The sequence below is a fragment of the Homo sapiens genome, chromosome 11 (genome assembly GCF_000001405.40).
Source record: "Homo sapiens chromosome 11, GRCh38.p14 Primary Assembly".
Classification (NCBI taxonomy): Eukaryota; Metazoa; Chordata; class Mammalia; order Primates; family Hominidae; genus Homo; species Homo sapiens.
Window position 1 is genome coordinate 134,396,208 of NC_000011.10, and position 27,354 is coordinate 134,423,561.

The window sequence follows — 27,354 nt, forward strand, 5'->3', positions numbered from 1 at the left end:
CAAAGGTGAGGACTGCACGAAGGCATGAGCACCGGGGGGTGGGGCTTCCAAGGATACCTGAGAGTCTGTCCCCCACACCAAGGCAGATGGGCCATGTCTGGCCCTCAGCTCCTCAGACCCTGCCTAGTCCCATAGCTACTGAGGGTGACGGCAGAACCCAGCCACAGTCATAGCCTTCTGCCACCCCCCTGCCACCACCTCTTTGCTCTCCTCTGTCCTGGAAGAGCCATGCATGGAGGGGCCCTGCGATGCAGAAAGGTTCTGAACCCCACAGCCAGACGACCCTGTGCACCTGCCAGCCTCTTTCTGCCTCTGCTACGGGATTCTGGTGAGGTAACCTCTCTGGGCCTTCATTTTCCCATCTGTAAAACGGGAATAAAAATACTGCTCCTACCACTAGGCTGTCAGGATAACTAGAAAAAAAAAAATCAGGCAAACCGTCTGCCACATAGTTGGGCCAATAAAGAGCAGCTGCTGTCACTGCTGACCTTGCAGCCTGGAAGGGCCAGGAAACGGGTCTGCTCGGCCTGGCTTCCTGCTGCCTCCTTCCAACCAAACTCCGGGCTGCTTGCTGGAGGGCAGATGGAAGCCACGGACCTGAAAGCCCCACGTCACCTCCAAAGAAGAGGCAGGTGGAGAGGAGAGGGTCTGGGATCGTCAGAGGAGAAAACACCAGCACGAGGCCCCTGACGGCGTCCTTTGATTTCCCTTGGCCTCAGCTTCCCCATCTCTCACACGGAGCTGCTACACCTCTTGTTGTCTGGCATGTCCCATTGTGACCTAACACACAACCTCAGATCCAACCACCATCTTTCCTCTGGAAGCAGCTCTCATCCAAGCCCCCTTCTTTCTGTCATGGTCCCGGCATGAAAACCTCAGGGCTGCCCTTGACTCCACCTTCTCCCTGCATCAGCGGGGCCTCAGCTCCTTCCACTGCTGCCCCGGCCTAGGGCTCCATCCCCTAATCCTGGGCCAGGTCAAGTTTTTACCCACAATGGCCCTTATGGTGATCTCTCTGACGCCTGCCTTTCCTCCTCAATTCAGAGTCCACACACTGTCAGACCCTCCAACCCCAGCCTGCGACCTGCTCAGATCCTCCTGTGCACTCCTGACTGCAACGTACCCAGCCTGGCACTCAGGGATGCCTGCCCTGCGCCCGCCCACCACTCCCACCATGTCCCTCCTGTTCTCTCCTGTTCCCTGGCCATCTCTGCCCCGCCAGCTTCCGTCCCTGAAATTCCAACATGGCATGCTTTTCCTCGTCCTGTGGTGAGATGCAACGTGGCCCATGCCAGAGGGCAGTGCCCCATTCCCACCCAGAGCCACAGGGGGGGCCAGAGGGCAGTGCCCCATTCCCACCCAGAGGGCAGTGCCCCATTCCCACCCAGAGGGCAGTGCCCCATTCCCATGCCAGAGGGCAGTGCCCCATTCCCACCCAGAGCCGCGGGGGGTCCAGAGCCAGGGAGAGGGTTCTCAAGTTGAGTCAAGATGCCCAAGCGCAAACCAGGCCTGGCCATTGCAAACCAGCACCTGTCTCGTTTCCTTCCAGCTGTCAACTGCTCCCTTGCCTGGGCCTCCATGCCCTGCCTGCTCCTCTCTGCCAGGACTTGGCCAGGGTACAGTGCGTGTGGGGGTATACCTGGGCCTGAGTGGCAGTTAGGGGGCCCCGCAGTGAGGAACAGCAAGCATGGGTTTGGTCCCGGTGTCCCCTCCCCCTTGCCCAGCACTCTCTTGAGGCTGATGATTTGGGGAGACGCCAGTCTGACCACAGCGACTCAGGTGCCTGCTCCCTGCCTGCTCCCTGTCCTCCTCAATGCGTTGCTTGGAATTCGACTCAAGAAAACCCCTGGGGTTGAGTATTCTGTTCTGACAGGGCATCGAGGCTGTGCTGGCCACCACAGAACTGCCCGCCTGAGTGACTTCACAGGGCAGCTGGCCTGCTGCTTGACACCCATGTGCATGCGTGTGTGCATGTGTGATCATGGCCGGCACCCCGTGAGTCAGCACACGTGTATTCACAGGCACGTGTCTGCACGCTCTTAGCTGGGTATCAGTGTTGCTCTGTGCCCTGTTGACAAATCCACAATTGGGTCCCTGTTCAAATAAGAGAGTAGCTCACGTGCCTGTCCTTGGCACCCAGTGGCTTCGGATCCTGGAACATAGATGGGGTGAGGCCAAGAGGCCAGTTCTACTCTCTCTGCAGCCCTGGGGTTTGCGGGGGCTGCTGCTCCTAAACCTACTAAACACAACAGCTCACACGCAGTACTGATTTATGGCTTCCAAAAGGACTGCACGTTGGTTATCTCATTTAATGTTTAAACCCTTGTAATCCCAAAGGTTTGTTCATGTTTTACAGATGAAGAAACTGAGGCATGAGGGGGTTGAGTGACTGTCTCAAGTGTCCCAGGTCCAGATAGAAAGCAGCCATCCCCTTGCACTCCTCTGGGCAGCAGTGGCCAGGCAGGGGTCCTTGCCGTGCCTCTGTCCCACCTCTCCTGGCCCTGGGTCCACTGCTGGCTCCCTCCCGGGCCCCCTCCTGCCTATGGCCAGCTGGCCCCCGGCCTCTGGGGACATACGGGTTTCTTCCTAGCTGTGTGCTCCGGGCAGGCCTCTGTGCTGCAGCTGCACACCCGGCTGGCAGCTGAGACTTCCCTGCCCTTGTTCATCAGAGCTAGTGTGACCTTACACTTCCTGATCCAAACCAGGATGCTTTTGAAAAGGCGATGAGCTGATATGATAATGGATCAACTGCAGGTCTGTTCTGGGTGCGGTGGGTGGTGGGTTCTCCAACCAGAGCCCACTGCTACCTGCTTGCAGGCTGGATGGTTTCTCTGCTTTGCTCCCTCCCCGGGGGGGCTCACTGCAGCCTTCATGAGCTGGTGACCCCAGAATGGCTCCTCTCGCCTGCATGATGGGAGCAAAGGGGTTCTCACTTGCTCCTGTTCAGAGGTTTCCCCACATCCCTACCCGCCTCCAGCCTCACCTCACCTGTTGGAGACAGGTGGGGTAGAATCAGCCGTGCACATCATTCCAGCTCTATGAATAGACCACGCCAGGATTTGGGTCCTGCCCTTGGACCCTGGTTCCAGCAAAACGCTCTTAACACACCAACCAACCTGCTCCCGTTCTGAGAGACTCCCCAGTCAGCCAGCAATGTATGCACCCTAGGAGAGGCCTGTGGTTTGCTCAGGACACCCATGGGTGGAATGCTGCCTCCAGTGGGCGCACACCCACCACAGGGCGCCTGCTCAGTGGGGGCCAGGCCCGTAGGGCCCCAGAGTGTGAGGCACATTCTGCTACCCAGTGAACGGCAGGGTCCAGGGGCAAGCCGTCGAAGCTGCTGCTGCTAATAGCACTGACCTCCCCTTTTGCCAGGCTGCCCAGCAGTGGCAGAGGGCAGTCCAGAACCCAGAAAGGCTGGGATGCCCTAGAATCCTGGACCCTGGAAGCTAGGAGGGCTGTGACCCTCGCCTCATCTGACCCTCTCTACAGAGGAGGCCCAGCCCAAGGTTGCACTGCTTGGGATGCTGAGTGCCGGTTGCAGCAAGGGTCTCTCGTGATGGGCTGGATGAGTGTGTCCATCCACAGCATGGAGCCTGGCACAGGTCATGGTGACTGACTTGGTACCTGCTGGAGCCCAGCACAGCCTGGACATAAGCAAGCCAGGTGAGCAGGTGGGTCTGGCCCTGGAACTGAGTGTCCAAGGCTTGGGTTAGCTGAAACAGCCCTGCAGAACCTCTCAGGCTGTGAGCAAGGTGGGGACATCCCAGAGGGAGGATGTGAGCAGCCAACTGCCCCACAGTACTGCCTTCCTGCTGTCATGCTGCCCTAGGCTGCTCAGTTTCCCTTGGCGCTGTTGTCTCTGTGGTTCTGGGTGAGGTGCTGGCGAGGGGAGACTCTCCTGGGCTCTGTGCCTTTGGCATTCCCTCTCCCACTCTGAAGCCTTCCCTGGCCCTGCCCCTGCCCCGATCTGCTCACTCAAGGTGCACACACTGTGGGACTTCCTGCCCTGGGCCCTGCCTTTTGCTTGCCGGTTTTCACATTTGCACCCTAGCCCCGAGCCAGAAGCTCCTCCGGGGGCGCCTGGTCTTACTCACCTCTGCATTCCCACACCAGGGCCCAGAGCCCAACCCAAAGCAGGAGCTATGCCAATATCCCTGTGACTCAGTTTCCTCACCTTTAACTCTCACAGGGCTACTTTCAGATCAAATGAGGGAATCAACGGAAAACACCTAGCATAAGGCCTGGCACACAATTGGCACTATGAATGTTAGATCATATAGAACACAGTGGTGAATACAAACACCACCACCTCCACCTTGTTTTAAGATTCAGCGGATGGCTAGCCATGTGCAGAAGAATGAAACTGGACCTCTGCCTCTCACCATATGTGAAAATGAACTCAAGATGGACCAAAGATTTAAATGTTGTAAGACTTCAAACTATCTAAGAATCCTAGAAGAAAACCTAAGGAACACCATTTTGGACATCAGCCTTGGGAAAATTCTTATGGCTAAGTCCTCAAAAGCAACTGCAAAATACAAACAAAAATCAACAAGTAGGACCTAATTAAACTAAAGAGCTTCTGTGCAGCAAAAGAAGCTCTTAACAGAGTGAACGGACAACCTACAGATCTGCATCCAACAAAGGTCTAACATCCAGAACCTACCAGGAATTTAGACCATTTAAATGCAAAGAACAAATACCCACATTAAAAAGTGGGCAAAACACATGAACAGACACTTCTCAAATGAAGACGTACAAGTGGCCAACAAATATGAAAAAATGCTCAAGATTAGTGATCATTAGAGAGATGCAAATCAAAGTCACGAGACACCATCTCACACCAGTCCGAATGGCTATTACTAAAAAGCCAAAAAACAACAGATGCTGGCCAGGCTGTGGAGAAAAGGGAACACTCGTACATTGTTGGTGGGAATGTAGATGAGTTCAGCCACTGTGGAATGTGGTTTGGAGGTTTTCAAAGAACTTAAAACATTTGACCCAGCAATCCCATTATTGAGTGTCTACACAAAGGAATATAAGTCGTTTTACCGTGAAGACACATACACTCATGTTTATCGCAGCACTATTCATAACAGGGAACTGATGGAATCAAGCTTGGTGCCCATCAGCAGTAGACTGGATGACGAAGACGTGGTACACATACACCATGGAATACTACGTAGCCATAAAGAAGAATTAAATAATGCTTTTTTTGCAGCAACATGGTTGCAGCTGGAGGCCATTATCCTAAGTGAAGTAACACAGGAACAGAAAACCAAATACTGCTCACTTATAAATGGCAGCTAAACATTGGGTACTCTTGGACATAGAGATGGGAACAATAGACACTGTGGAGTCCTAGAGGGAGGAAGAAGGGAGGGGGGAAGGGTTGAAAAACTACCTACTGGTTACCATGCTCAGTACCTGGGTAAGAGGATCAGTTATGCCTCAAATCTCAGCATCACATAATATACCCGGGTAACAAACCTGCACATGTACCACTGAATCTAAAATAAATGCTGAATTTATAAAAAATTTAAAAAAAAGTAAAACTCAGCTGAATCCAAGTGCCTGGGAGAGGAAGGGCAGAGGAAGGAGGCACCTTGGCCCCTTCCTCATGGCTCAGTGGCGACCAGCCTTCGGGCAGCCTTTCCAGCACATTCTTCTCTCCCCAGCACGAGGCGGTGCTGTGGCTTGAGCTCAATGGAAACTGGGCACACCAGCATGCAGTTGTGACAAAAGGGTGTGGCCTGGGGCGGGGGGGGGCGGGCAGCCTGACCACTGTCGGGAGGCGGGGCCCCTGGAACCTGGCGCTGTGGCCCTGGCTCCCTCTGTTCCTGCTTGGAGGACGTGCCCCTGCACAGGTGGACCAGGCGACAAGGCACTTTCTCATGCCTTTTCCTGCTGTAGCCTCGGTGCAGCCACCTGAGATGAGGTGGGCACCCATCCTGTCACCCTGCTTCTTCAGGTGGGGAGACTGAGGTTTGGAACTGACACACTGAGCTAGAGTCAAGTCGCGGGTATGCCCCAGTGTGCGGTTGCTGCTTCCCTCCCGTCACCCTGCCCAGTCTGGTCCTGTGTCTCTGCCCAGCTTCCCAGAAAGGCACTCAGGAAGGACCGGTGATTTCAGAGATTCCCCATCCCTCTTCTCTTCTCCTGCCTCCAGAGCTGTCAGAGAACTGACTTGTCCATGGGGCTCTAGGGCCAGCGAGCCCTGGGCACTGTCACTCCCTGCCCCGTCTCCCCAGGATGCAGGCTCAGGCTCCTGGAGAACTTTCCTTTCACCACCTCCTACTTCCAGGGCTCCCCCACCTCCCTCTGTTACACCTGCCCTGCCCCTAAGGTCCCTCCCTCCTCTGGGGTGTCAGCTAACCCCCCTGCCTGAAGAAGAAACAATTAACATAAAATGTTGAACTGGGTCAGGCACAGTGACTCATGCCTGTAACCCCAGCACATTGGGAGGCTGAGGTGGGTGGATCACTTGAGGTCAGGAGTTGGAGACCAGCCTGGCCAACATGGGGAAACCCTGTCTCTACTGAAAATACAAAAATTAGCCAGGTGTTGTGGCAGGTGCCTATAATCCCAGCTACTGGGGAGGCTGAGGCAGGAGAATAACTTGAGCCCGGGAGGTGGAGTTTGCAGTGAGCTGAGATTGCGTCACTGCACTCCAGCCTGGGCAACAGAGCGAGACTCTGTTTCAAAAAAAAAAAAAAAAGTCGAAGGGGCTTGGGTAGGGGACTTGCCCCCTGAGCACATGTGTGAACCAGAGTGGGCAGTGTGTGCCCTACACAGCAGAGGAGGTGTGGGTGCGATGATCCCGCGGTCCTCAGTCTCAGTGCCCCTGACAGTGGAGTGTGCTGATACTATCTCTGGGTTTCCCAGGCTACCTATCACACAGTGAGCACCAGGGCGGCTACGGATCCACGGTCCACCACCGACATGTAGCCCAAGGCACAGGCTCAAGACAGGCCTCCACATACCTGGGGGAGGGGATCTCCAGGCTCTCCTGGGCTCCCATCCCCAGGTAGACTCTAGGAGTACCCGGCCGATTTCTTTCTCGGGGTCCCGGGAAGGCAGCAGGGATGAGAGCAGGAGGCTGGCATCCCTTCACACCGGTACGTTTGCCTGGGACATGCTTCCCTCCCTCATAGTCCCTCCACTTGCTGAGTTGCTTGGCCCCCAGGACCAGGCCAGGTACACTCAGCCCAGGGGCTTCACACTCAGGGCTGGGCACCACAGGGTGCCTGGGCAGCCCTGGATGCAGGAAGGGAGCCCCAGAGGCCAGACCAGATGCCAGGTAGAATGGGGTGCCTCCTTCTTGATGCTCCCATGACACTGTGACATAGCTTCCCTCTGGGCAGAAGTATTTGCTGGGTGGCCCCTCTGCTCAGACATCTCCTGAGTGGGAAGGGCAAGTGGGGAGAATTGCCATTTATTGAGCTTTTGCTCCACAGCCTGACATCAAATAACCTGTCAACCAGATGACTGGATAAAGAAAATAAAGAAAATGTGGAATACACATGCAATGGAATATTATTCAGCCTTAAAAAGGGAGAACATTTTAACACATGCCCTGACATGGACGAATCTTGAGGACACTATGCTAAGTGAAATAAGCCAGTCTTAAAAGGACAAATATCACAGGATTCAATTTCTATGAGGTATCCAGAGTAGTAAAATTCATAGAGACAGAAACTAGGATGGTGGCTTGTGGGGGCTGGGATGTTGTGGAGAATGGGAGTCATTTAACGGGTACAGAGTTTCTTTCTTTATATATATATATATATATATATATATATATATATATATATATATATTTATTATACGTTAAGTTCTAGGGTACATGTGCACAATGTGCAGGTTTGTTACATATGTATACATGTGCCATGTTGGTGTGCTGCACCCATTAACTCATCATTTAGCATTAGCAATATCTCCTAATGCTATCCCTCCCCTCTCCCGCTATCCCACGACAGGCCCCGGTGTGTGATGTTCCCCTTCCTGTGTCCAAGTGTTCTCATTGTTCAATTCCCACCTATGAGTGAGAACATGCGGTGTTTGGTTTTTTGTCCTTGCGACAGTTTGCTGAGAATGATGGTTTCCAGAATGGGTACAGAGTTTCCAATGGCCGAGATGAGACAGATCTGGAGATCTGTTTCACAACAATGTAAATATACTCAGCACTGCTGAACTGTGCACTTGAAAATGGCTAAGATGGTAAGTTTTATGTTATGTGTTTTTTAAATAACAATGAAAACGAGTCTGTCATTCATCCAGAACATCCGTTTAGACACAGTCAAGGACAGCACACTCCTCGGAGCCTGCACCCTGGGCTTCAGTGAGCATTCACGGCTGGGTTGGGTGTCTGTGTGTGATCTCAAGCATGCACCTTCCTGGGAATCACGGGGTGACAGGCACCAGGTATGCCTGCGGGAGGCCCCCCTCCAAGGCTCCAGGTACGCCACTCGGAAGAGTGTGCACGCCCCACTGACAGCCTGCAACCGCCTCGCTGTCCTCAGGCCTGGGGAGCCGCAGAGACACAGTGCTGGAGCACTTGTTCTGAGAGAGAGATTTATGTGTGGGAGAAGAAGCTAATATCGACAGGCGATGAGTTAGGAGAGTAATACTTCAGCTACCACGCAGAAACTCTCTGACCGTGAGGAAAGCAGCTCGCCCGGAGGCTGTACTTCAGCCCAGGCAGGCTGGCAGAGCTGGGCCGGGCCTGTGTCGGTCAGCTGCAGTGTGGGTGCAACTGGCCGGTCCCTTGGCCTCTCTGGGCTCAGTGTCCTCCCCGTGCCACGAGCGGCCGTCTCTCCCACTCTGTGGTCTGTGGATGAGGGAAGAGGAGGGAAGAAGAAGGGCTGGGGCAGGCAAGCAGGGCTGGGGGGGTGACGATATTGTTGATATGCACCTACGGCCTGCCAGCAACTCCACGGGGGTGGCATTTGCCACAGCCCTGCCTCAGAGGGACCCAGCACCGGCACTCCTTGGGGGTCAGGACTTATCTTCAAGGGTGTCAGAGCAGTGGTGACCTCCTTAGGCTTCGGAAGACGCCCCCAAGGGGACCCCCCATCAGCTACGGGGACCCAGAGGGCTTCAGGTCCGGGCTAGGTAGGCACCGGGCAGCCCCAAACCCAGGTCTGAAGCCACGGAGGGTCCACTGATGGTCACCCGCCTGGTGAGGTCCTGTGGTCAGGGTGCGTAGACACACTCTGGCAGGCTAGCAATTCACGGGTTTCATTAGTTTGTCTGTATTTTTAATTTGCCGCCTGTGGCCTGAAGGAGCTGACCTTCCCCAGGGCTCTGTCAGGGATAGTTGAGGTTGGTTTTCCTGGGTCCAGCCGTCTGAGGGAGAAGAGAGGAGGTGAGGGGCCCTGGGAGTCTCAGCGTTGCGCCCCGACCCCGGGGGTGGCAGCCCCCAGCCCCACACATCTGCCTGCCAGTAGTACCAACAATCTGCCCGGGAGGGCACTGGGGCATGCAGCCTCTGCCTTGTGTGAAATTGCTCTGTGGCCCCTAGACAGGAGCAGGGCTGCTCTGGGTGTCTGTCCCCTCATCTGTGAAAAGAAGGGAGTAGCCCAGGGTTGCACAATCCAACTTCTGGGAGAAGGCTGGCAGCCAGGTAGCCTGGGGTGTCCAGCACCAGCCTGGCTACCAATGGCCAGCTCCTGCCCCTCAGGCCAGCCCTCACCTTCCACCCCTGGTGGCTTGGTGGGCAGGGTCCCTCCCTCTGGCCTCCGGCTTGGGTCGCTCTGTGGAAGTGATTTTTCCAGGTGAGGAAACGCTCATGCAGCCCTGTCCCTCCTGTCTTAGACGAGGAAACTGAGGCCCCACCAGTGTCTGTGGCACAGTGAGTTGCAGACGCAGCTGGGACCAGCGCCCGGGGGGCTCGTGGCAGCACAGTTGGCCTCTGAGACCTCCAGGCTCTGCTCCCTCCACTAAGCCCACAGCAGCCTCTGGGCTCTCGCCCTCCAGACCAGGGAGGGGTGAGCCCAGGCAGGGGCCTCTCACATCCCTTCCTCCATCCCTGCTCGACATGGTGCTGGCTGGTGGCAGCTAACCATGCCTCCTTTGCTGCTCTTATTCTGAAAGTGTGGGGGCTTAGCAGATGCTTTTTAGTGACAAAACAGAATTTCAGTGGCACTCACCTCCAAAAAGCATCAGCCCCTCTATCTGGCTGCGTCTGCACAAAGCAAGGTTGCTTTCCTCATCTCATTCTAGCTCCCTGGGCTTCAGTGAGCACTCAGTCAGGAATAATCCCATCCTAGGGGAGGAGGTGGAGGCTCAGGAAGGGTCACAGAGGTAGCCAGGACTTGTGTTGATTGGGTGGGTGGGGGGGCGGCCTGGCAGAGTGGGCTTTTCAATAAGCCTTTAAGTGAATTGTTAAATAAATGAATAATAAAAATGGCTTTCTATTTTCAAATAAAAAATAAAAAAGCTCTTGCTGTTGCATGCTCTGAGTGATTAGCATGATTAACTGTAATGACTCATTTCCTCCTCAGAAACATCCTATTATTACCCTCATTTTAAAAGTGAGAAGTCTGAGGCACAGAGAGGTTAAGCAACGTCCTGAGGCCACACAGCTACTAAGTGGCAGAACTAGGACCTGAATCCAGCCAGTAGGACCTGGCACTTAGCCACCCTGCCAAAACACCTGTGCAGGCTCCGGTCCACAACACTCTGCCCACTAGAACTTTCCGTGCCCAAAACACCTGTGCAGGCTCAGGTCCACAACACTCTGCCCACTAGAACTTTCCGTGCCCAAAACACCTGTGCAGGCTCAGGTCCACAACACTCTGCCCACTAGAACTTTCCGTGCTGCCGGGAACGTTCTGTATCTGTACCGCCCAAGATGGCAGCCTCTAGCCACATGTGGCTGTTGCCCACTTGAAATGTGGCTGGTGTGACTGAGGAGCTGCTCAGGGTGGGGACGGATGCAGCCCCCCATGCCCAGTGTGGGGCTCTAACAGTTTCTGAACAATGGACAAATGAGTAGCCCAGGGTTCAAAGAGAGACTCATGGCCTCAGAGGCCAGATTGCTCACCTGCCACAGACAGAGGAAGCAAGATGGGCAGAGGGGAAGGAGAGGACCCCAGCCCACATAGCCAGCCAGAGAGGACGGGCAGAGCCAGGCCTCCAACTACAGTGCCATTGGCACTCCCCACGCCGTGCCGTCATGTCTCCACTCCCCCATCCCTCTAGGTCTTCTTCCTGTGAGCAGAGAGCTGGCTCACATTTCCCACGTATGAGAAGAGAGAGCTCCTGCCATGGCTCAGAAGACTGAGCCGTGGAATCCACAGCCCCCTGGGCAAGGTTAGTCCTCAAATCCAGTCAACTCTTGATCCAGACTCATACTCTCCACTTTTGCGCTTATCAGAGGTAAAGCCTTAATCCCTGCCAGGCACTTGGCGCGGAGGCTGCCTCCTGCCCTGCTGTCAGCTGGTGTGTGCGCAGGGAGCGCAGGCTCATTTTAATATTGGCTGGAGCTAAACCTCATTAGAAAAGTAAATTTGCTGTAGCTGCAAAAAAAAAAAAAGCAACCCACATAACCCTTCCAAAGCTAAACAGAAAACACTAGATTTGGACTTTTGGATTATTTGATGTTTCACGTTCCCAGCACCTGGTGCAGAGCCTCCAACACCGTAAGTGCTTGGTCAGTGTTGGTGCAAGTGAACTGAATTTTGGGGGCTCTCTGACCACCCTGTCACCTTTCAGCATGGATAAGAAGGGCTCACAGATCTGGAATTTTGGTGTCAAGATTTTTTTTTTTAGACGACCATTTGCTGATAAATTGGAAGGATTACATTTAACAATAATTAGACACGAAAGTATTATTTTGTGTTTGGCAAGGACGAACTCTGAGCCAAGGCGGGCTCTGGGTTCTTTGGGTTGGGATAAGGAAGGGTGGGTCCAGCCCAGAGTCTGGAGGTGTGAGGACTCAAGCGGGTGAGGAGGGAGGTGGGACAGCCTGCACCGATTCCAGTGGGGTGAGGAGGGAGGTGGGACAGCCTGCACCTATTCTAGTGGGGTGAAGAGGGAGGTGGGACAGCCTGCACCGATTCCAGTGGGGTGAGGAGGGAGGTGGGACAGCCTGCACCGATTCCAGTGGGGTGAGGAGGGAGGTGGGACAGCCTGCACCGATTCCAGTGGGGTGAGGAGGGAGGTGGGACAGCCTCCACCGATTCCAGTGGGGTGAGGAGGGAGGTGGGACAGCCTGCACCGACTCCAGTGGGGTGAGGAGGGAGGTGGGACAGCCTGCACCGATTCCAGTGGGGTGAGGAGGGAGGTGGGACAGCCTGCACCGATTCCAGTGGGGTGAGGAGGGAGGTGGGATAGCCTGCACCTATTCCAGTGGGGTGAGGAGGGAGGTGGGACAGCCTGCACCTATTCCAGTGGGGTGAGGAGGGAGGTGGGACAGCCTGCACCGATTCCAGTGGGGTGAGGAGGGAGGTGGGATAGCCTGCACCTATTCCAGTGGGGTGAGGAGGGAGGTGGGACAGCCTGCACCGATTCCAGTGGGGTGAGGAGGGAGGTGGGACAGCCTGCACCTATTCCAGTGGGGTGAGGAGGGAGGTGGGACAGCCTGCACCGACTCCAGTGGGGTGAGGAGGGAGGTGGGACAGCCTGCACCTATTCCAGTGGGGTGAGGAGGGAGGTGGGACAGCCTGCACCGATTCCAGTGGGGTGAGGAGGGAGGTGGGATAGCCTCCACCTATTCCAGTGGGGTGAGGAGGGAGGTGGGACAGCCTGCACCGATTCCAGTGGGATTGGCTCCAGGGCTGGCCTGACGCTGCTACTCCAAATTCTAGAGCCATCCTCATCCTGGAAGCAAGGGGGTGAGGGTGTATAAAATAAATAGATTAAATTAAAATTCATCTAGTATTTCTTCTAAAAACTGGTGAGATGACAGTTTCCCAATTTATAGACTGCCAGGAAGCCGGGGCTTAGAGAGCTCTGTTTTTTTCAAAGTCTACTCGGCTAGCCACAGATGGAGATGAGACTGGACCTCAGACAGCCTGGCCAAGGGCCTGTCCCCACTGCACTTCTTCCATGTCCCCTGGCTAGTCTTCAGTAGGGTCCCCAAAGGTCTTTTTGCCTGGGGGCCTGGGGAGGGGGTGCATGACTTCTCTTCTTCTCCTGAGTGCCAGGTTTCCCCAGACCCCACATCCTTCCCCACTGCCCTGCATTCCAGGACCAGGAGGGCTGGGGCAGGGCCAGAAGATGGAGAGGAGCCCTCAGCATTGTGAGATGCTCAGGGGTGAAGGGTGTCCCTGAAAGTCCCTGCAAGCTCTTGATGTGCTTGACCTCATAGCCTGGCCTCCCTCTGCCTTTGGGCTTCTGTCTAAAAGACCCTCACATTCCTGAGAGCCACAGGAAAGCACCTTCCTCAGTAGAATGTCCAACTGCTCTAGTGAGGGGCCTCCTGCAGGGGTGGACAATTGCTGAGGTCGATGTAGGGGAACAGGGGGAGGCCCCCAGCCTGCCCCAACTCACCACTCAGTCAGGGAGGCCCTGACTTCTGCCTGTGTGCCTCCCTCTGCTGTCCGCCAGTGCGCCTCCGTGCCTTTGTCTCTTGTCTCACTGCCTCTTTCTCTGCCTCAGTCAGGCTCTCTCTCGGATTCCTCCTCCTCCTGAGCCCGTTCCTCTCCTCCTCTCCATTCTCATCAGAGAGGAACACTCATCCCTCTCTTCCAGAAACAATGGAGCACCATGCTCCTGTCCGCTCAGCCTTTCGGTTGGTGCATCCTCTTCCCCATCTCACACTCCCAGCTCCTGGCCGGCCTCATCACCCTGTGCTCCACACCTAGGAAAAGTATATCTGACTTGGTCCCCTTATCCCCGAGAAACCACTAAGAGAACCTTCAGGTCTCCCCAGAAGCCGAAGCTGAGGAACTGGGCTTGCCCCAGGGCATCCTCCTGTGAAGCTCCTTGGTCTCCGCCACGGGCTCCAATCCTGTTGCTGGAGCTTATCTCCTCAGTGATTTACCTGCCCCCTGCTTCTGGTGGAACAGTGAGTAACTGCCCAACCAGAAACCTACACACACATATTCAACACAGCGCCTGCAAGCTTCCAGCTCACCTGGACCTGGAGTGATCCCCAAGCATCCTGGGGTCAGGCACAGAAACAGGAACAGCGAGCTCCTGGCTCCAGTGCTGAATGGGGCACAGATGCATTAACTCTCCCAGTCCCATTAACCTTAGCAAGTATTTCTGCTTCCATGAAAAGGGGAAGAGGGAAAATGTCTCTAAGCTCTGGAACCTTTGGCAGTGCTGGGCATGGACTGGGCAGAGTGAGAAGTCTGTCTGAAGACCCTGGGAAAGGGTCTTCACCCCATGGGAAGAAAGGGAAGGCTTGATGTTTGGTCCAGTAAGGCCATTAATGGTCACCAACTGAGCAGACTCTGGGAGGAAATGTCTCAGTCTCTGCAGTGGCTACCAGCAGAGGTAGGGCGACATAAGCACAGAAGACAAATCTTAGAAAACCCTAGAACAACAGTCCTGTGCAGCCACATGCCCCACAGCCCTAGTAACTTAGGGAGTGATGTGCCTCCCATTTCCACACAAACACATCCAGGCATTGCACAGTGCTAGGCCCTACGACATCCGTACCCCAACATTTTCAACAGTGCGTGCTACACAGCCCAAGCTCTAGGCCCCATTGGGCACCCCACCTATGCAGGTGCCCATGCACTGGGCTAGCAACTGTCAGTAAAGGTCCCCTTCCTGTATGTCCAGAGTCCTTCAGCTCCAGCTTCTACAAGAATCCATGCAGCTAGGCCTGGCTGGGGGAGGAAGGGGACAGGGAAGTTGGCCAAGGCTCCCATGTGTGTGCATGTGGGGGTGGTTCTTGACCTTAGCTGCTTGGTACGGGGCTGTCACCTCCTTACCCTGGCACTGTCGGACCTGGTGGCTTCCTTCTCTATTTCCTGCCTCAACTCTCAGCCTCCTTTTTCTGGAAGTTGTGTGCTCTGACTTTGGAGGGATTGGGACCTCAGACCTGAGCCCAGGTGCAGATGGGAGGGTGGTGAACTGGTCGCGCCTCCTTCCTCCTTGCTACACCGAAGGTCCCAAGGGCCCTTTGCCACCCTTGCTACCCCTGGGTCCCTCAGCGCGCCCCGCAGAGCTCGGGCCCCCTCAAGAGAGTTAACTTGGCAGTGCCCAGGAGCCAGAGAGCGATCCAGAGAGCGCTGTTGGGCAGCAGGGGTGGGGAGGTGGGGGACGACTGACCCCTGACTCCTCATCCGGCCACCAGAAACCACCTGCTGAGGGGGCCGGGAACTGACGACTGAGAGCCCGGGCCGATTGTTAGAAGCTGCTGAGAACCAGCTCTTCCCCTAATCCCGGTCGACGAGGGCAGGCTGTGCCGGGTTTTGTTTCGCAGCCCCTCGGCAGCAGCGCCTCCCAGCCCGAGCTCGGTTCTCGGCCCCCTTTCCAGCTGCCCCCAGCGCGCGCAGCGCACACACACACACACACACACACACACACACACACCCCAGCGCGCGCCCGGGAGGACATGGCGTGGGCACCGATGGGGACGCAGAAAGGGGCTCTGTGCGCGGCGGGGCGCCCGCGGGGGCGCGGGGAGCACTGACCTGCGGCGACGAGTCCGGAGCGTCTCCGGTGCGGTCCATCGCGGGCAACGGCCCCTACGCCCCGGCCCCGGCGCCCCTAGACCGCTGCCCTGGGCCGCGTGCGGCTCCCTCCCCGGGGACTGTCGGGCTCCGGGCCCCCGGGGGCCACTTCATAGCCGCGGGGTCCGCGCGCCCGCCCGCCCCGCCCGGCCCCGCCGCCCCGGCCCGGCTCGTTCTGGGCTCAGCGAGGCGGCGGCCGAAGGCTGGGAGCGCGCGGGAGGGAGGGCGCGGGCAGGGAGGCGGGGGGCGGGGGGCGGGGAGGGGGAGCGGGGAGGGGGAGCGGGGAGCGGGCGCGGGGGCGAGAGGGGCGAGGGGGGCGCGCGGCCGGAGCCGAGCCGACCGGGCCGGCGCAGAGTCCCCGAGGTGGCGGCGGATGCGCCGGTGCCGCCGCGGCTCTGCCGGCGCCTCCCGCCCCGCCCCCACCCGCTCTCCGCCCCCGCCCCGCCCCCGCCCCGAGCCCGCGCCAGCGCCGGCGGGACCCGAGCTGCTAATGGTCGGTACCAACCTCGCCAGCCTAGGCGGGGGCGCGAGGAGGGAGGCCGGCGAGGGGACCCCCCCCCGGGATTGGTATCACCTCCCCACCGCCCCCCACCCTCCCCCGGCACCGTCCCCCGCGGAGGCGGCTCCCGCTTCAGGCGGCGGAGCAGGGGTGGCGGGCAGGGGCCGAGCGCACCCCCAGATCTCGGCTCTCGAGAGTTAAAGCTCGGCCCCCGCCTGCACCCCCATTCCACCCCGCCTCCATCCTGGCTGCTCCTGGCGCCCAGCTTGGCAGCCTCTCTCAAAGGGTGATTGTTTCCGGCCGGGCTGCTGCAGGAGGGCGGGGGGCGGCGCTCTGGGACCGAGAGGCCGAGCTGGGAAGCCGGTGGGGGATGCGGCTCCTTCCTTGGCTCCAGGCACCCCGGATGGGAGGTGGCCGGTGGGGGCGGACGGTGCCGTGCCGGGGTACGGGGTCTGCTGCCCCGTGGAAGGGCACCTCGAGCCGCCGCGCGTCAGCCTCACCCCAGCCTCCCCTTCCGGGCCGGTGCACCCGGCGTTCCGGAGAGAGGCCCGGGAGGCCTGCGTGGGCGGACGGGCGCGGGGAGGCCGGGGGCAGCGGGATCTCCAGGAGTTTCCCGGGCCTCTGCCGCGGTGTGTTGGTCGGCGGGGGACGGAGGCCAGTGAGTGGGCGCGCACTTGGACGTATGTGGGTGCACTGGTAGGGTGCCTCTGTGGAGCTGTATATTCCAGATACTCCTTCAGCTTGTCGGAGACTTTGAAGCCATCCTTGCACTCGTTTTAGAGGTTGGCATCTCCCGGTGCTCTTGGACACCTGTATTCGGGCCACACCCGCTGTGTCCTCTTCACAGCCCCAGGAGAAGGCCACCTCCCATGGCGGGGTTCGCGGCGGGACCAGGGACTGTCGGTACTTTCTCTAGGGTCTCCCTCCTTCCCGGGAAACCAGTTCCAGCCCCACTGCTAGGCACTGCTTAACCAGAGCTGTGCCCCCGTGCTATGGGCTGGGGCTGAGGACCACGGGCCTCTTTTCCATCAGCTTTCCTGCCCTGTTAGGACCAAGCCGGGCCCTGCTCTTCCCACTGAGGATGTGCAGGTGGGGAGGGGGCAGAGACTCCAGAATCAGCCCCTTTGGTCAAGATTTTGAGGGGAGGAAGGCACCTCACCGTCCGTATCATGCCACAGACATGTGAAAGTGTCCTTAGTGACTATCTCTAGGGATAACTGCTCCTCCTTGTCGTGCGCTCTTTCATTGTTGTGCTTAACAGCCCCCTTTGCCGGCAAGAAACTTCCTCTGAATCTAACCTCAGTACCTCCTGCTGCGGTACAGGAGCATTTCCCCCTTCTCTTAATGAGTGGAATCCCAGCCAGCCTTGCTCCGCCTTCTTCTGCCCCTACTACAACCCTCTCTTTTAGACTCTGCTAAGAGACCTTTCCTAAGTCGGTGTTCTCTGGTATTTTCCTAGTCTCCATACTCTGCTTCTCCTTAGACTCCACACCAGCTGAAGGGAGGGGAAGGGCAGGTGCAGAAGCAGGATGGGCGGGGGTACCAGAGAGCACCAAGGAGGGGCCAGGCCGTCCAGGAGGGCACATTGCCTCCCTCCTCTGCTAAGCCAGCCAGCCGCAGTCACACAATCACCAAATGGGAGGACAGAAATGACCGTGAAGACTGTCTCGTTCCAGACCCTCATTTTACCAACAGGGAAACACACCCATGAGGGGTGATCTCAAGAGAGCTCAGGGACATGGCGACGAGGAGGCCTGGGTTTCAGGCCGATTCTGAAGGCACTAGCAAAAGACTTCCCCTCAGGGCTGGTTTCAGTAATGAAACAGAGGGTTGGACTAAGTGGGCTGTGGTCCGACTTGTCCTGCTGGGCTGTGGCTCGGAGATGCTGTCTGCAGGGGTTCTCGGCTTTACCTCAGCATTCTGGCAGGAACAATTGTGATAATAAAGCCGCTTTCAAGGGACCTGTCTTGCATCTTAGTTCCAGGCTCTGTTTACAGAATTTTTAGTATTAATTTTTAGAGCCAATTTAAAACAATAATAGGAGATTAAAATTAGCATGATAAGGCTCAGTGAAGAGACAACAGCCTGCCATTCGTTTTGGTGGGAAGTTTTGGCAACATCCCAAGTGTATGGACACACACAAATGTACTGACATCTACGCAGGCACAAAACATGCTCATAGAGGCAGCTACACATGCAGATTCACCCACATGAACACACACACACACTCTGAAATACATCATGTGCACATGTAAACGCTTGCACACGGATGTACCTGAAGCACCTGCACCCACACAGACACACGTGTACACACACCATCCCCCGGGTCAGCCACACTCCCACCCCTGTCTTCCTGCTTGGCCTCTGCAGGACTGTGGAAATCCTTCCCTCCCATGTCTGGACTTGGTGCATCCTCACAGCTTGACCCTTGCTCCAAACATCTGGAGCACCTCTAAGGTCTCCCTGAATGATTGATCTTCCCCTCCCCCTGCCTTCCCTGCCAGTAGTGAGCCCCTCTTCTCAGAGGCCCCCAAAGCCTAGCACCAGCATGTTTAGTATGCAAAGCCCGGGTTTGTCCTCTGGGACAAACCGTTATGTGTTTATTGTGTAGTTAAGCAGGACGGGAGCCCTGCCCCCGCTCTGATCCTGGCCCACTTCCCATAATCTGAATCCCAGAAGAGTCCTGTAAAACCGTCATCTGCAATGCAAAACCTGCAAAACATCTGGGATGGTCTGTAGGTTTTCTCCAAATCACCTGTGCCCTAATTTAATATGAATAACAATTAGTTTACTCTTATCAGTTAATTGTTCCCCTCGTGGGTTCTGTCTGCCCTGGCCTCTCTTTCAGCAGGAGTTTTGGTCTGCTCCAGACTCCTAATGATACTGCCTTTTCAGCCGTGCCGTCCTTCTTAGCTACCACCCAAGAGAGGCAACGCAGCTGCGCTGCTTGCCGCCCTGGCCTGTGGGGCCCAGGCCCTCACCCCACCCGTCTTAGCCAGTCTGATTGTTGGGGGCCATCCAATCTCCCCTTGCCTTCACCAGGAATCTATAGCAGTGATTTTGCTGATGTGAGTGGAAAGGTCCCAGTGGGATTCTTCAGTGAGGAATCCCACCCCACAAGGTGCCCGTCCTCTCCCGTCATTGCCCTGGCAAGGGTGACAGCACATGCACATGCATGGGCACACCCAGATGCTGCCAGAGAGCAGGGGGAGTGAGAGGAGGAAGAGCTGCCCTCTGCCTCGGCAGGCAGGGTGAGCTCCCCAGGGACCCAGCCATGCTATCAGGCGTGTCTGAACTGTTCCCACAGTGGCTCCTGGACGGATGTGTGTGGATGTGCTGTTTTGGGTGGTGGAGTTCATGGCCCAGATACAGAAAGAGGAGGAGACCTTTTAACTCTTCCCTTTCATTAGGTTTCTGGTCTGAGCTTTGGATCTTGAACACCCTTGTTTGTCCATAAAAAATTGAAAATGGTCATGTGGTCAACAGGTTTCCCTCTGCCCTCCTCTCTTCTCAGAAGCCAGGCCGGCATCTTTCCTGAGCTGGTGCAAAAAGGCTGACTCCTGCTTCTCTCCAGTCTCTGCCTCCAGGGAAAGGGTGCAGTTACATGGCTTTAGAACACTTCAGTCATGTCATTTTGTTTTGCCTTCTTTCCTCTGTGGCTGAGGGAGGGATGAGAGGTGATAGGAGCAGAGCCCTCAGACTTAGGGGAGCATCTCTGAGGCTAACCTGGGACCGTTCTTTGTCCTCTTGCAGAAGTGAAAATAACCCAGATTGCCTTTTGACCTCCCCACTATCCCCTAACTACTCTGCAGAGCCCACACCTCCAAAGTCTCACTGAAGCCTTTCCCAACCTGAGCTCTGTGGCTTGTGCTGTCTCCTATAGCCCTCCCGACCCTCAGGCACCTCTGGCAGTGAACTGCTCTTCCCCTCAGTCCCATAGCACTTTATCCGGACACATCTGGAGGCTCTTACCCATCTGTGCATGCTTTCCTGTGTTCAGCTAATATTTACTGAGCTCCAGTCATATGCCAGGCACTGTGCTGGGCACCAGAGACATGCAGTAAACAACAGCAATTAGGAGTGTTAACTTCAATTAGGCCATTTATATGTATGCACCAGGTTAGGTTCCAAGTCTTCATGCACGTTAGCTAATTTCATATGTAAGGTGTTATTTACAAGGTACTGTTTGTGACAAGTTTCGATTATAGTTTCCATTTATAGGTCAGGAATCTGGGGCGTAGTATTTAGGTAATTTAATTAAGGTCACATGCCTAGTAAGTGACATAGCCAGCATTTGAGGCAGGCAGCCTAGTTCCAGGACTCAGGCTCATCGTCAGAGCACAACTCAGGGATTATATGCTAGTGGTCCATAGATGGGCAAATGCACAGAACAAACAGAGGTGGAGGAGATACAGGAAGGGAAGAAATAGGGTCAAGAGCTGGAGAGAGTCCTGGGAGGGTAGGATCAGGGAGAGGCTCTTTGAAGAGGCCATGTTTGAGCCAAAACCCGGGGGAATATTGGCCCAGCAAGGAGGACAGCGATAGGCGACCTGAGGGGTTTGCGGGAGGCTTGGTGTGCTTGAGGAACACGTGCAGCAGGTGAGGCTGGAGAGTGGAGAGAGAGGAGAGAGCCATGGGGAGCGGAAAGGACACTCTCTGCTTGGAGTTTGAGGATTCATGTGCGTGAGTGACCTCCTGCACTAGCGTCTTCCAGAGAGTGGCTGTTCAATAAATATGATGGATGGAGTCGTCTAATTTCCTGCCCAAACTCCCCTCCGTGGCTTGGGTGATGGGCAGACATCCTAGACCTTTGGGTATTAGTAGAGCATCTGCAGAAAGGACTCCTTACCCTTTCCTTTTGGGATTTGGAAGAAAGAAAAAAGGTGCTAGGAGTCCTGCCACATGGATGTGCTGATTCCATTTATTCATTCATCAAAATTCTGAGCAGCTCCGATGGCCAGGAATTTTGATAGGTGTGGGAAAGACAGAAATGAAGGGCCAGCTCCTGCTTATGGTCCCATGGTTTTCTCCAGCCTGAGGTTTCAGTGTTTCGCTTCTAGTGTCTGCCCTTCCCCATGTGCCTACCACGGATTCTTCTGTCTACTGTCTGCCCTTCCCCATGTGCCTACCACGGATTTTTCTGCAGGGGAGAAGAGCCGGGCAGAAGGCTGAGCTGTTGAGAAGCCACACTGAGACCTGGGCAGGGGCTGCTGCAAATGTCAAAAACTGGGAGAGGCAGAGGGGTCTCCTGTGGGCAGCAGCCTTCAGAACCTTTTTGTGATCACCCAAGGGGTTGGGGTACAGCGACTTTTTGGATGGAAGAGGAAGAGAAGACCATAACACTTGTTGGTGAATTCAGACTTACAACAGTGGTTTTTGTTCAGGCATATTCTGAAAGAAAGGCTGCATACTGAAAGGTTTGAGAAGCGTAATTCAACATATTGGAAGATCTCGCTCCTCCATTTCAAGATGACTCAGGCCGGTGACTTTCTTTCTGTTCCCCTGGAGCCAACAGGGTGGCAAAGTTGGGAAGAAAGACACTTGGAATTACTGGACATTGATGTCCTTTGCCCAACCTGCATGTGGTCTGAACTATGTGTTATGCCAGATAGGAAAAGAGATAACTCACATCAAATACTTCCTGGCAGATTCCTGGCTGATTGTGGGAAGCTGGCGGGACTGAAGAACGTTTCCCTGTTGGCTTTATGAGACAAGAAAGAGTCTGGCAGGATTTCTGGGAAGTGAGAGAGAGGAAATATGGACCCGTGAATAGAAAGCATGTTGAGTGTTAGGGACAAAGCTCCTCCCTCCTTAGATATTGAGAAAACATGATGGAGCTAGGCCACTGGAAACCCTGGGTACTGCTCTCATCAAAACATGAAACGGTTGGTCCTTCACTGAGATCCCAAAGATCGAAGTCCTGGGCCTACTGCCCAGACAATTAGCTCCCAAGCCTCTGTGGCTGCACCCATGCCTGGAGCTGGAAAAACTGCTTTTTATCTGATTACGACTTCCTGGCTGAAAACACTCAGGGGCTCTGTAGGGAACTGGTGATCTGTCCTCCCATAGCCTAGTGATAGATTAAGGGTCTAGGGAGTTAGGGAGAGCTTTAATAGGGCCCCCTGGGTTTGAGCACACATCTGACAGTTGTAATCCTCCAGCTATGTTTTCTGCAAACGGATGGTCATTTTGGGCTTTCTGGTCTCTAATCCTTCATTCAGCAAAGCAAACACCCTAAATCCTCAATAATGTAGGTTTTACAGTCTCATATATACATATCCATGTTTCAGCACCGAGGCCAGCTCCACTCATGCGCGGCATATGTTCCCGCATCTGGATGTAAGCAGTATCAGGACTCTGGAAGCCGAACTTGGGTTTGGCAGGAAGGCATCGCATTGTGGAAGCCAGGTGACATCCACACGGAGCCCTTTTTCCAGGCATTGTCATTGTGTTTCTTTGAAAGAGGCAGGACCTTCTTTAAAGTGACAGCTAGATAAGGCATGTGAGTGGAAACTGTACTATTTGGGGAAGGACTGGAGAAGGTTAAGAGGACTCATGTTCCCAAGGAGGGGGCTGAGCTGGATCTGGGATGGCAAATCAGTTTTATCCTGGATGCAGATTTCAGTAAACTAGTTGTAGCTGGGTGAAATGTACTGAAGCTACATCTGTGGTAAGGAGCACAGGGCACCATGACCAATTAGTGATGTCTGCCTTGAGTGGGTGGCAGGGTAATCACACACACACACACACACACACACACACACACACACAGAGAGAGAGAGAGAGAGAGAGAGAGAGAGAGAGAGAGCAGGGGGGCCATTTCTGGTTGCTAGGTGATATTTAAGATCCTTTTAACTTGTCATATTATATGTCTGTAAAAATCAATAGTTCTATATGTTCTCATCTTTCAGTTCCTCCATTTTTTGTTTGCTCACTTAACCACCATTTACTGGGTGCCGCTAGATGCTGGTTACTGGGCAGTACTTCTTACTTACCCTCGATGAGCTTACGGTCTAATAGGGAGAAGGGACAATGGAAGAGTTACAATGCAGGGGGATAAAGACAGTGTTCTATGGGGCTGATGGCAAGTTCCTGGTGTAGAGAAGGTATGATGGAGTCCTGGTTCCTGGTCTTCAAATCAAGGTGCAGTTGTCTTTGTGTGATGGTGGCCCAACTGGCAGAACTGAAAGCCGATTTCCATGAGTTAGTTCTGTTGTGCAGTGAGGAGGTCCCCGGCTCCAGGCCACCAGTTGTTTGATAAACCTATGCAAGGCTTTGTTAAGTGACATTTGCCTGTTGACGTAGCTGGGACAATCACACAGTCCTCTCCTAGGCCTGGCCTGGTGTGGCCAGCCACAGACCACCTGGAGATGTCCACACTTGCTAGATAGGAAGGCCCAGCAGAGCCTCAGTGTGAAACCACCTTGAGAGCTGCAGTGTTGTTTTGCCAGGGAACTGGAATGTCCACATTCTAGACTAAGGATTAGGGGCAGGATGGGAGTGTCCTGGCAGTGAAAGCACCTGGGAAGACCACTAGAGATGCTTCTGGAAACCTAGTGTGGGTGACTTCTAGGAGTCTCCAGGACAACCCACTTCTAATGACCTATAAAACCACCATTATTATTGTAAATCTCAGCAGATTGATTTGTGATAAACCAGGCTTGAGAAACCTTAGGCAGTGGGAAAGTAGATATTTTAACTTTACAACTGGACATATTGAGGATCCCGGAGGAACGAAAGTGGCCAGGCCACATCTTAGGGCCTAGCCCTCCAGCTCCTTCCTCCACAGGCCTAGAGAGCCAGGACATGACAGCATCAGGGGGCCTCCCAAGGCTGACACTGAAACCCCATCCATTCATGCCAGTGGTGAATGGTGAATCTCTCTGCCTCTTTTGAAGATCTCACAATTAAACAGGCAGAGGAATGTATTTCATAAAATATGCATACTGTTTGCTTTGTACAAAAGCATTTTAATGTCTTTTAGCTCGTAGCCAAGATGAGCAATAGGAGGAACAATCTTTCACTGCACATGAAAATCAGTCACCAGGCAGTGGTGCCTTTGTGGAGGGATGCCTGTCATCACCGCCATCATCCCCACCACCATCCTCACCGCCGTCATTCTTACTTGCCTGTCATCACCGCCATCATCCCCACCACCATCCTCACCGCCGTCATTCTTACTTGCCTGTCATCACCGCCATCATCCCCACCACCATCCTCACCGCCGTCATTCTTACTTGCCTGTCATCACCGCCATCATCCCCACCACCATCCTCACCGCCGCCGTCATTCTTACTTGCCTGTCATCACCGCCATCATCCCCACCACCATCCTCACTGCCGTCATTCTTACTTTTTATGGTCAGGGCATAGTTTCACTTCAGTTCTTTGGATGTTCAGACTGTGTCTTGTTCATTAGATCGGCTGCTTTGCCTGGCACGATGTCTGCCACACGCCTGATGCCTAATGAACATCAGCTATTGTAAACGTTTATTAAAAGTCAATGAATTATGTTCTTTTTTGTCACGGAGTATAATCCCATGAGATGAGGAGCAGTAGGTGCCATCATCTCCCAATCGTGTATAAGGAATCGGAGACAGACACGTGTATTGTATACACTGGTGCACTCAGGGGCATTGACATGGGCCCTGTCTTGTGGTCTGGCTTGGTAGAGATATATTATCCTGCTCTGGTCATGTTTTCCCCCAGCAGCAGAATCTGGCCCTTGTCCTCCCTGCCTCTCCCTCTGGTGCTGGCCTGGGTGCCTCTCCACCGTGAAGCTCCCGCGTTCTATCAGACCAGCCTCACTCCCGTAGATAGTGGCTCCTTGTCAGTGCGAGAGCCAGAGGAGCAAATTCTTCATTACTGCATGGAGCTGACATGCAAGAACAATTGGACTAAATTGATTGTATTTTCCAAATCATCACCCGGCTTCTAATTCTATCTGTGAGATGGACTAATGTGAATGAGAATTAGCTTCTAAATTGAGAATCCAGGCCCTTGACCAGGAAGGGAGAAGGGGCCCTCCTGCAGTCCAAAAGGAATGAGGTTTCCAGGCTTGTAGTAGACGCAGAGGCCTTTTTTGGAAATGGTCTCTGTGTGACAAGGGAATAATGTGGTCTCTGTGGGGCCTGTCACTCTCCTCTACTGTACTCTACCCTCCCACAATGGCATCCATGCTTGGTGATGCCATCTCAAAACCAGTGAAGATGACCAGTGGGCATGAGTTCTGGCTCCCTTCCGCCCTGGAGGAAACTGAGGCAATGGCAGAGTCAGAATTTAAAAATCTTATACCCTCAAGTTAGAAGGAAGCCTGCAGGCGAAGGCATCCACACTCCTACAGAATACTCTGTTCTGTACGACGTCCTTGAGAAGTGGCCATTCTGCTTCTGCTTGAACCCGATGGCAGAGATCCTTACTGCCTTCTAGACAACCCATCCCATGTTTGGTCTGCTCTTTTTGGTGAAAAGTTCTTTCTCTTTTTCAAAACTGAAACCTGCCTCCCTTTGACACTTTGGGCTGTGTCCTCTTGAGTAGTACCTCTCATACTGTAAAGCACTTAGGAATCTTCTGATTCTGACTAGAGTCTGAATAAAGTGTAGATTCTGATTCTGGAGGCCCCGGAGGCTGCATTTCTGAAGAGTGCTCGGGTAATGCAGATGCCTCTGGTCCACAAAGCTCACTTGGAGTGACCAAGCTTCCTGGGCACCAGACAGGATCTAAGTGTGAAAGCAGCATCATGTCCACCCTTTGATTTCTCTTTACCAAGATAAGAGTCCTACATTCCATTAAATTCATAGTAAAAAAGTCGTATAAATTCATTGGATGTCAATTCTGGGTGAAATCTTCTCCAGAAGGAATCTTGTCTGTAATTTGATTTATTTTACAAAAGAGGAAATGCAGGCCCAAGAAGGCCCAGAGAGTTGCCTAAGGTCATGAAGCTGGTAGAGCTGAGAATAGCTAGAGTTAGGGTTTGCTGACCTAGGATCTTCTCTTAAACAGTGCCACCTTTGGATATTGGCAGCAGGAGCAGCAGAAGAGAGAGTGATTGACTGCAGTCCCCCCGCTGCTGTGTGAGGCAGGAGCACAGTGGGGCGGTCCTCTCCTGCCAGGGAAAGGGGGATGGTGTCAGACAGATGGGTGAGAGGAAGGAGGTATCCATCAGAAGAGAGTGGGATGCCCATGGGGAGTGGGACAGGGAAGATGCAAGGCTACTGGGGACTCCTGCTGAATAGGAAGAGTAAACGAAACTTCAGGGAAGAAAGTAGGGGTTGGATCCTTCACATGAATCAGAGGGAATGGGCAGCTATCCCTTCTATCCCCACAGTACTCGGCCCTTATCCCTGTCTACCCCTGGCCCTATGTGCAGAATTCCCTGTTGAGTTCCATGTTTTCATACCTGCATCTTGAGGGCCATGTTTTGTTCACCACTGTTTCCCAAGCACCTAACCCAGGGCCTGGCCTTCAGTAGGTACTTAATACATATTTGTTGAGTGCATGAGTGCCTAAATAAATCATTAGAAGTAGGCAGTCAAAATCCAGGACTGTACAGCCTAATTAAGAAAATCTGATTACTGTATACATAGCAAATATCTTAATGGGAAAATGTGGTAATTAGACCTGGGATAACCAAGACTTGGGTTTTGGATGTGCATGGTGAGGGAAGTCAAGGACTCAAGGGCAAGGCCTAGGTTTGTGCACTGGAGAAGGAGGGGAATAGTGGGAGGAATAATCAGATTTCCTAGGAAAACCCAAGGGTTCTGTTTTGGATGTTAAGTTTGAGATGAATATTAGCTAATTCAGGGAAGATTCTAAGTAACAGTTGGATACAGCTGGTCTCCCTGGACCCAGAGAAGCTGCGGGAGGTGCTAGGGGTGGGCTGAATCCCTCCCCACCGCCGAAGCTGAGAGAATGCTGCGGAGGCTACCAAGGCGTAGAAGCAGAGTGGCTTCATCCTGGAGTCCCTGTGGAGGGCGGGTGGCTTCCCACGAGGACTCACAGCAATCACAGTTCGCTGCTGCTCGAGGGAATTCAACAGCCTGCCAGGGCCCAGAAGGTAAATGTGGGGCATCTGAGGAAAATAAAACACACCTATGGGGACCTTCAGCAGGACAGAGGAGAGCAGCTGGAACACAAGAGTAGGTGGCTCTACTCGAGGACACAGAGAACAAACTAACTGTAGTGATTATGAAACTAGAGCACGAGAGAGGTTAAACCA

At 54.4% G+C, this 27,354-nt stretch overlaps 1 protein-coding gene across 6 annotated transcripts in view, besides 3 other annotated features; it reads right to left on the minus strand.

Annotated features, from left to right (window-relative positions):
• B3GAT1 (beta-1,3-glucuronyltransferase 1) overlaps window positions 1-16,035 on the minus strand; it is a 33,739-nt gene extending 17,704 nt beyond the window's left edge. For 3 of the 6 annotated variants that reach the window (XM_047426771.1, NM_001367973.1, NM_054025.3), the window contains exon 1: window positions 15,600-16,035. The gene's annotated coding sequence lies outside the window, so the exon portion shown is untranslated. Of the gene's footprint in view, window positions 1-13,500; window positions 15,438-15,599 lie in introns of those variants that run through there. The other 3 variants (XM_047426772.1, NM_018644.3, XM_017017551.3) reach the window with 3 other exon arrangements.
• Window positions 1,380-2,239: an enhancer, noted in NCBI's record as "H3K27ac-H3K4me1 hESC enhancer chr11:134267481-134268340 (GRCh37/hg19 assembly coordinates)". NCBI's record gives its function as "activates a minimal SCP1, AML or CMV promoter by ChIP-STARR-seq in primed H9 embryonic stem cells {active_cell/tissue: H9 hESC(primed)}" and the evidence as "EXISTENCE:reporter gene assay evidence [ECO:0000049][PMID:30033119]".
• Window positions 8,202-8,703: an enhancer, noted in NCBI's record as "H3K4me1 hESC enhancer chr11:134274303-134274804 (GRCh37/hg19 assembly coordinates)". NCBI's record gives its function as "activates a minimal SCP1, AML or CMV promoter by ChIP-STARR-seq in naive H9 embryonic stem cells {active_cell/tissue: H9 hESC(naive)}" and the evidence as "EXISTENCE:reporter gene assay evidence [ECO:0000049][PMID:30033119]".
• Window positions 14,624-15,183: an enhancer, noted in NCBI's record as "H3K4me1 hESC enhancer chr11:134280725-134281284 (GRCh37/hg19 assembly coordinates)". NCBI's record gives its function as "activates a minimal SCP1, AML or CMV promoter by ChIP-STARR-seq in naive H9 embryonic stem cells {active_cell/tissue: H9 hESC(naive)}" and the evidence as "EXISTENCE:reporter gene assay evidence [ECO:0000049][PMID:30033119]".
• Window positions 16,036-27,354: the final 11,319 nt, after the last annotated feature.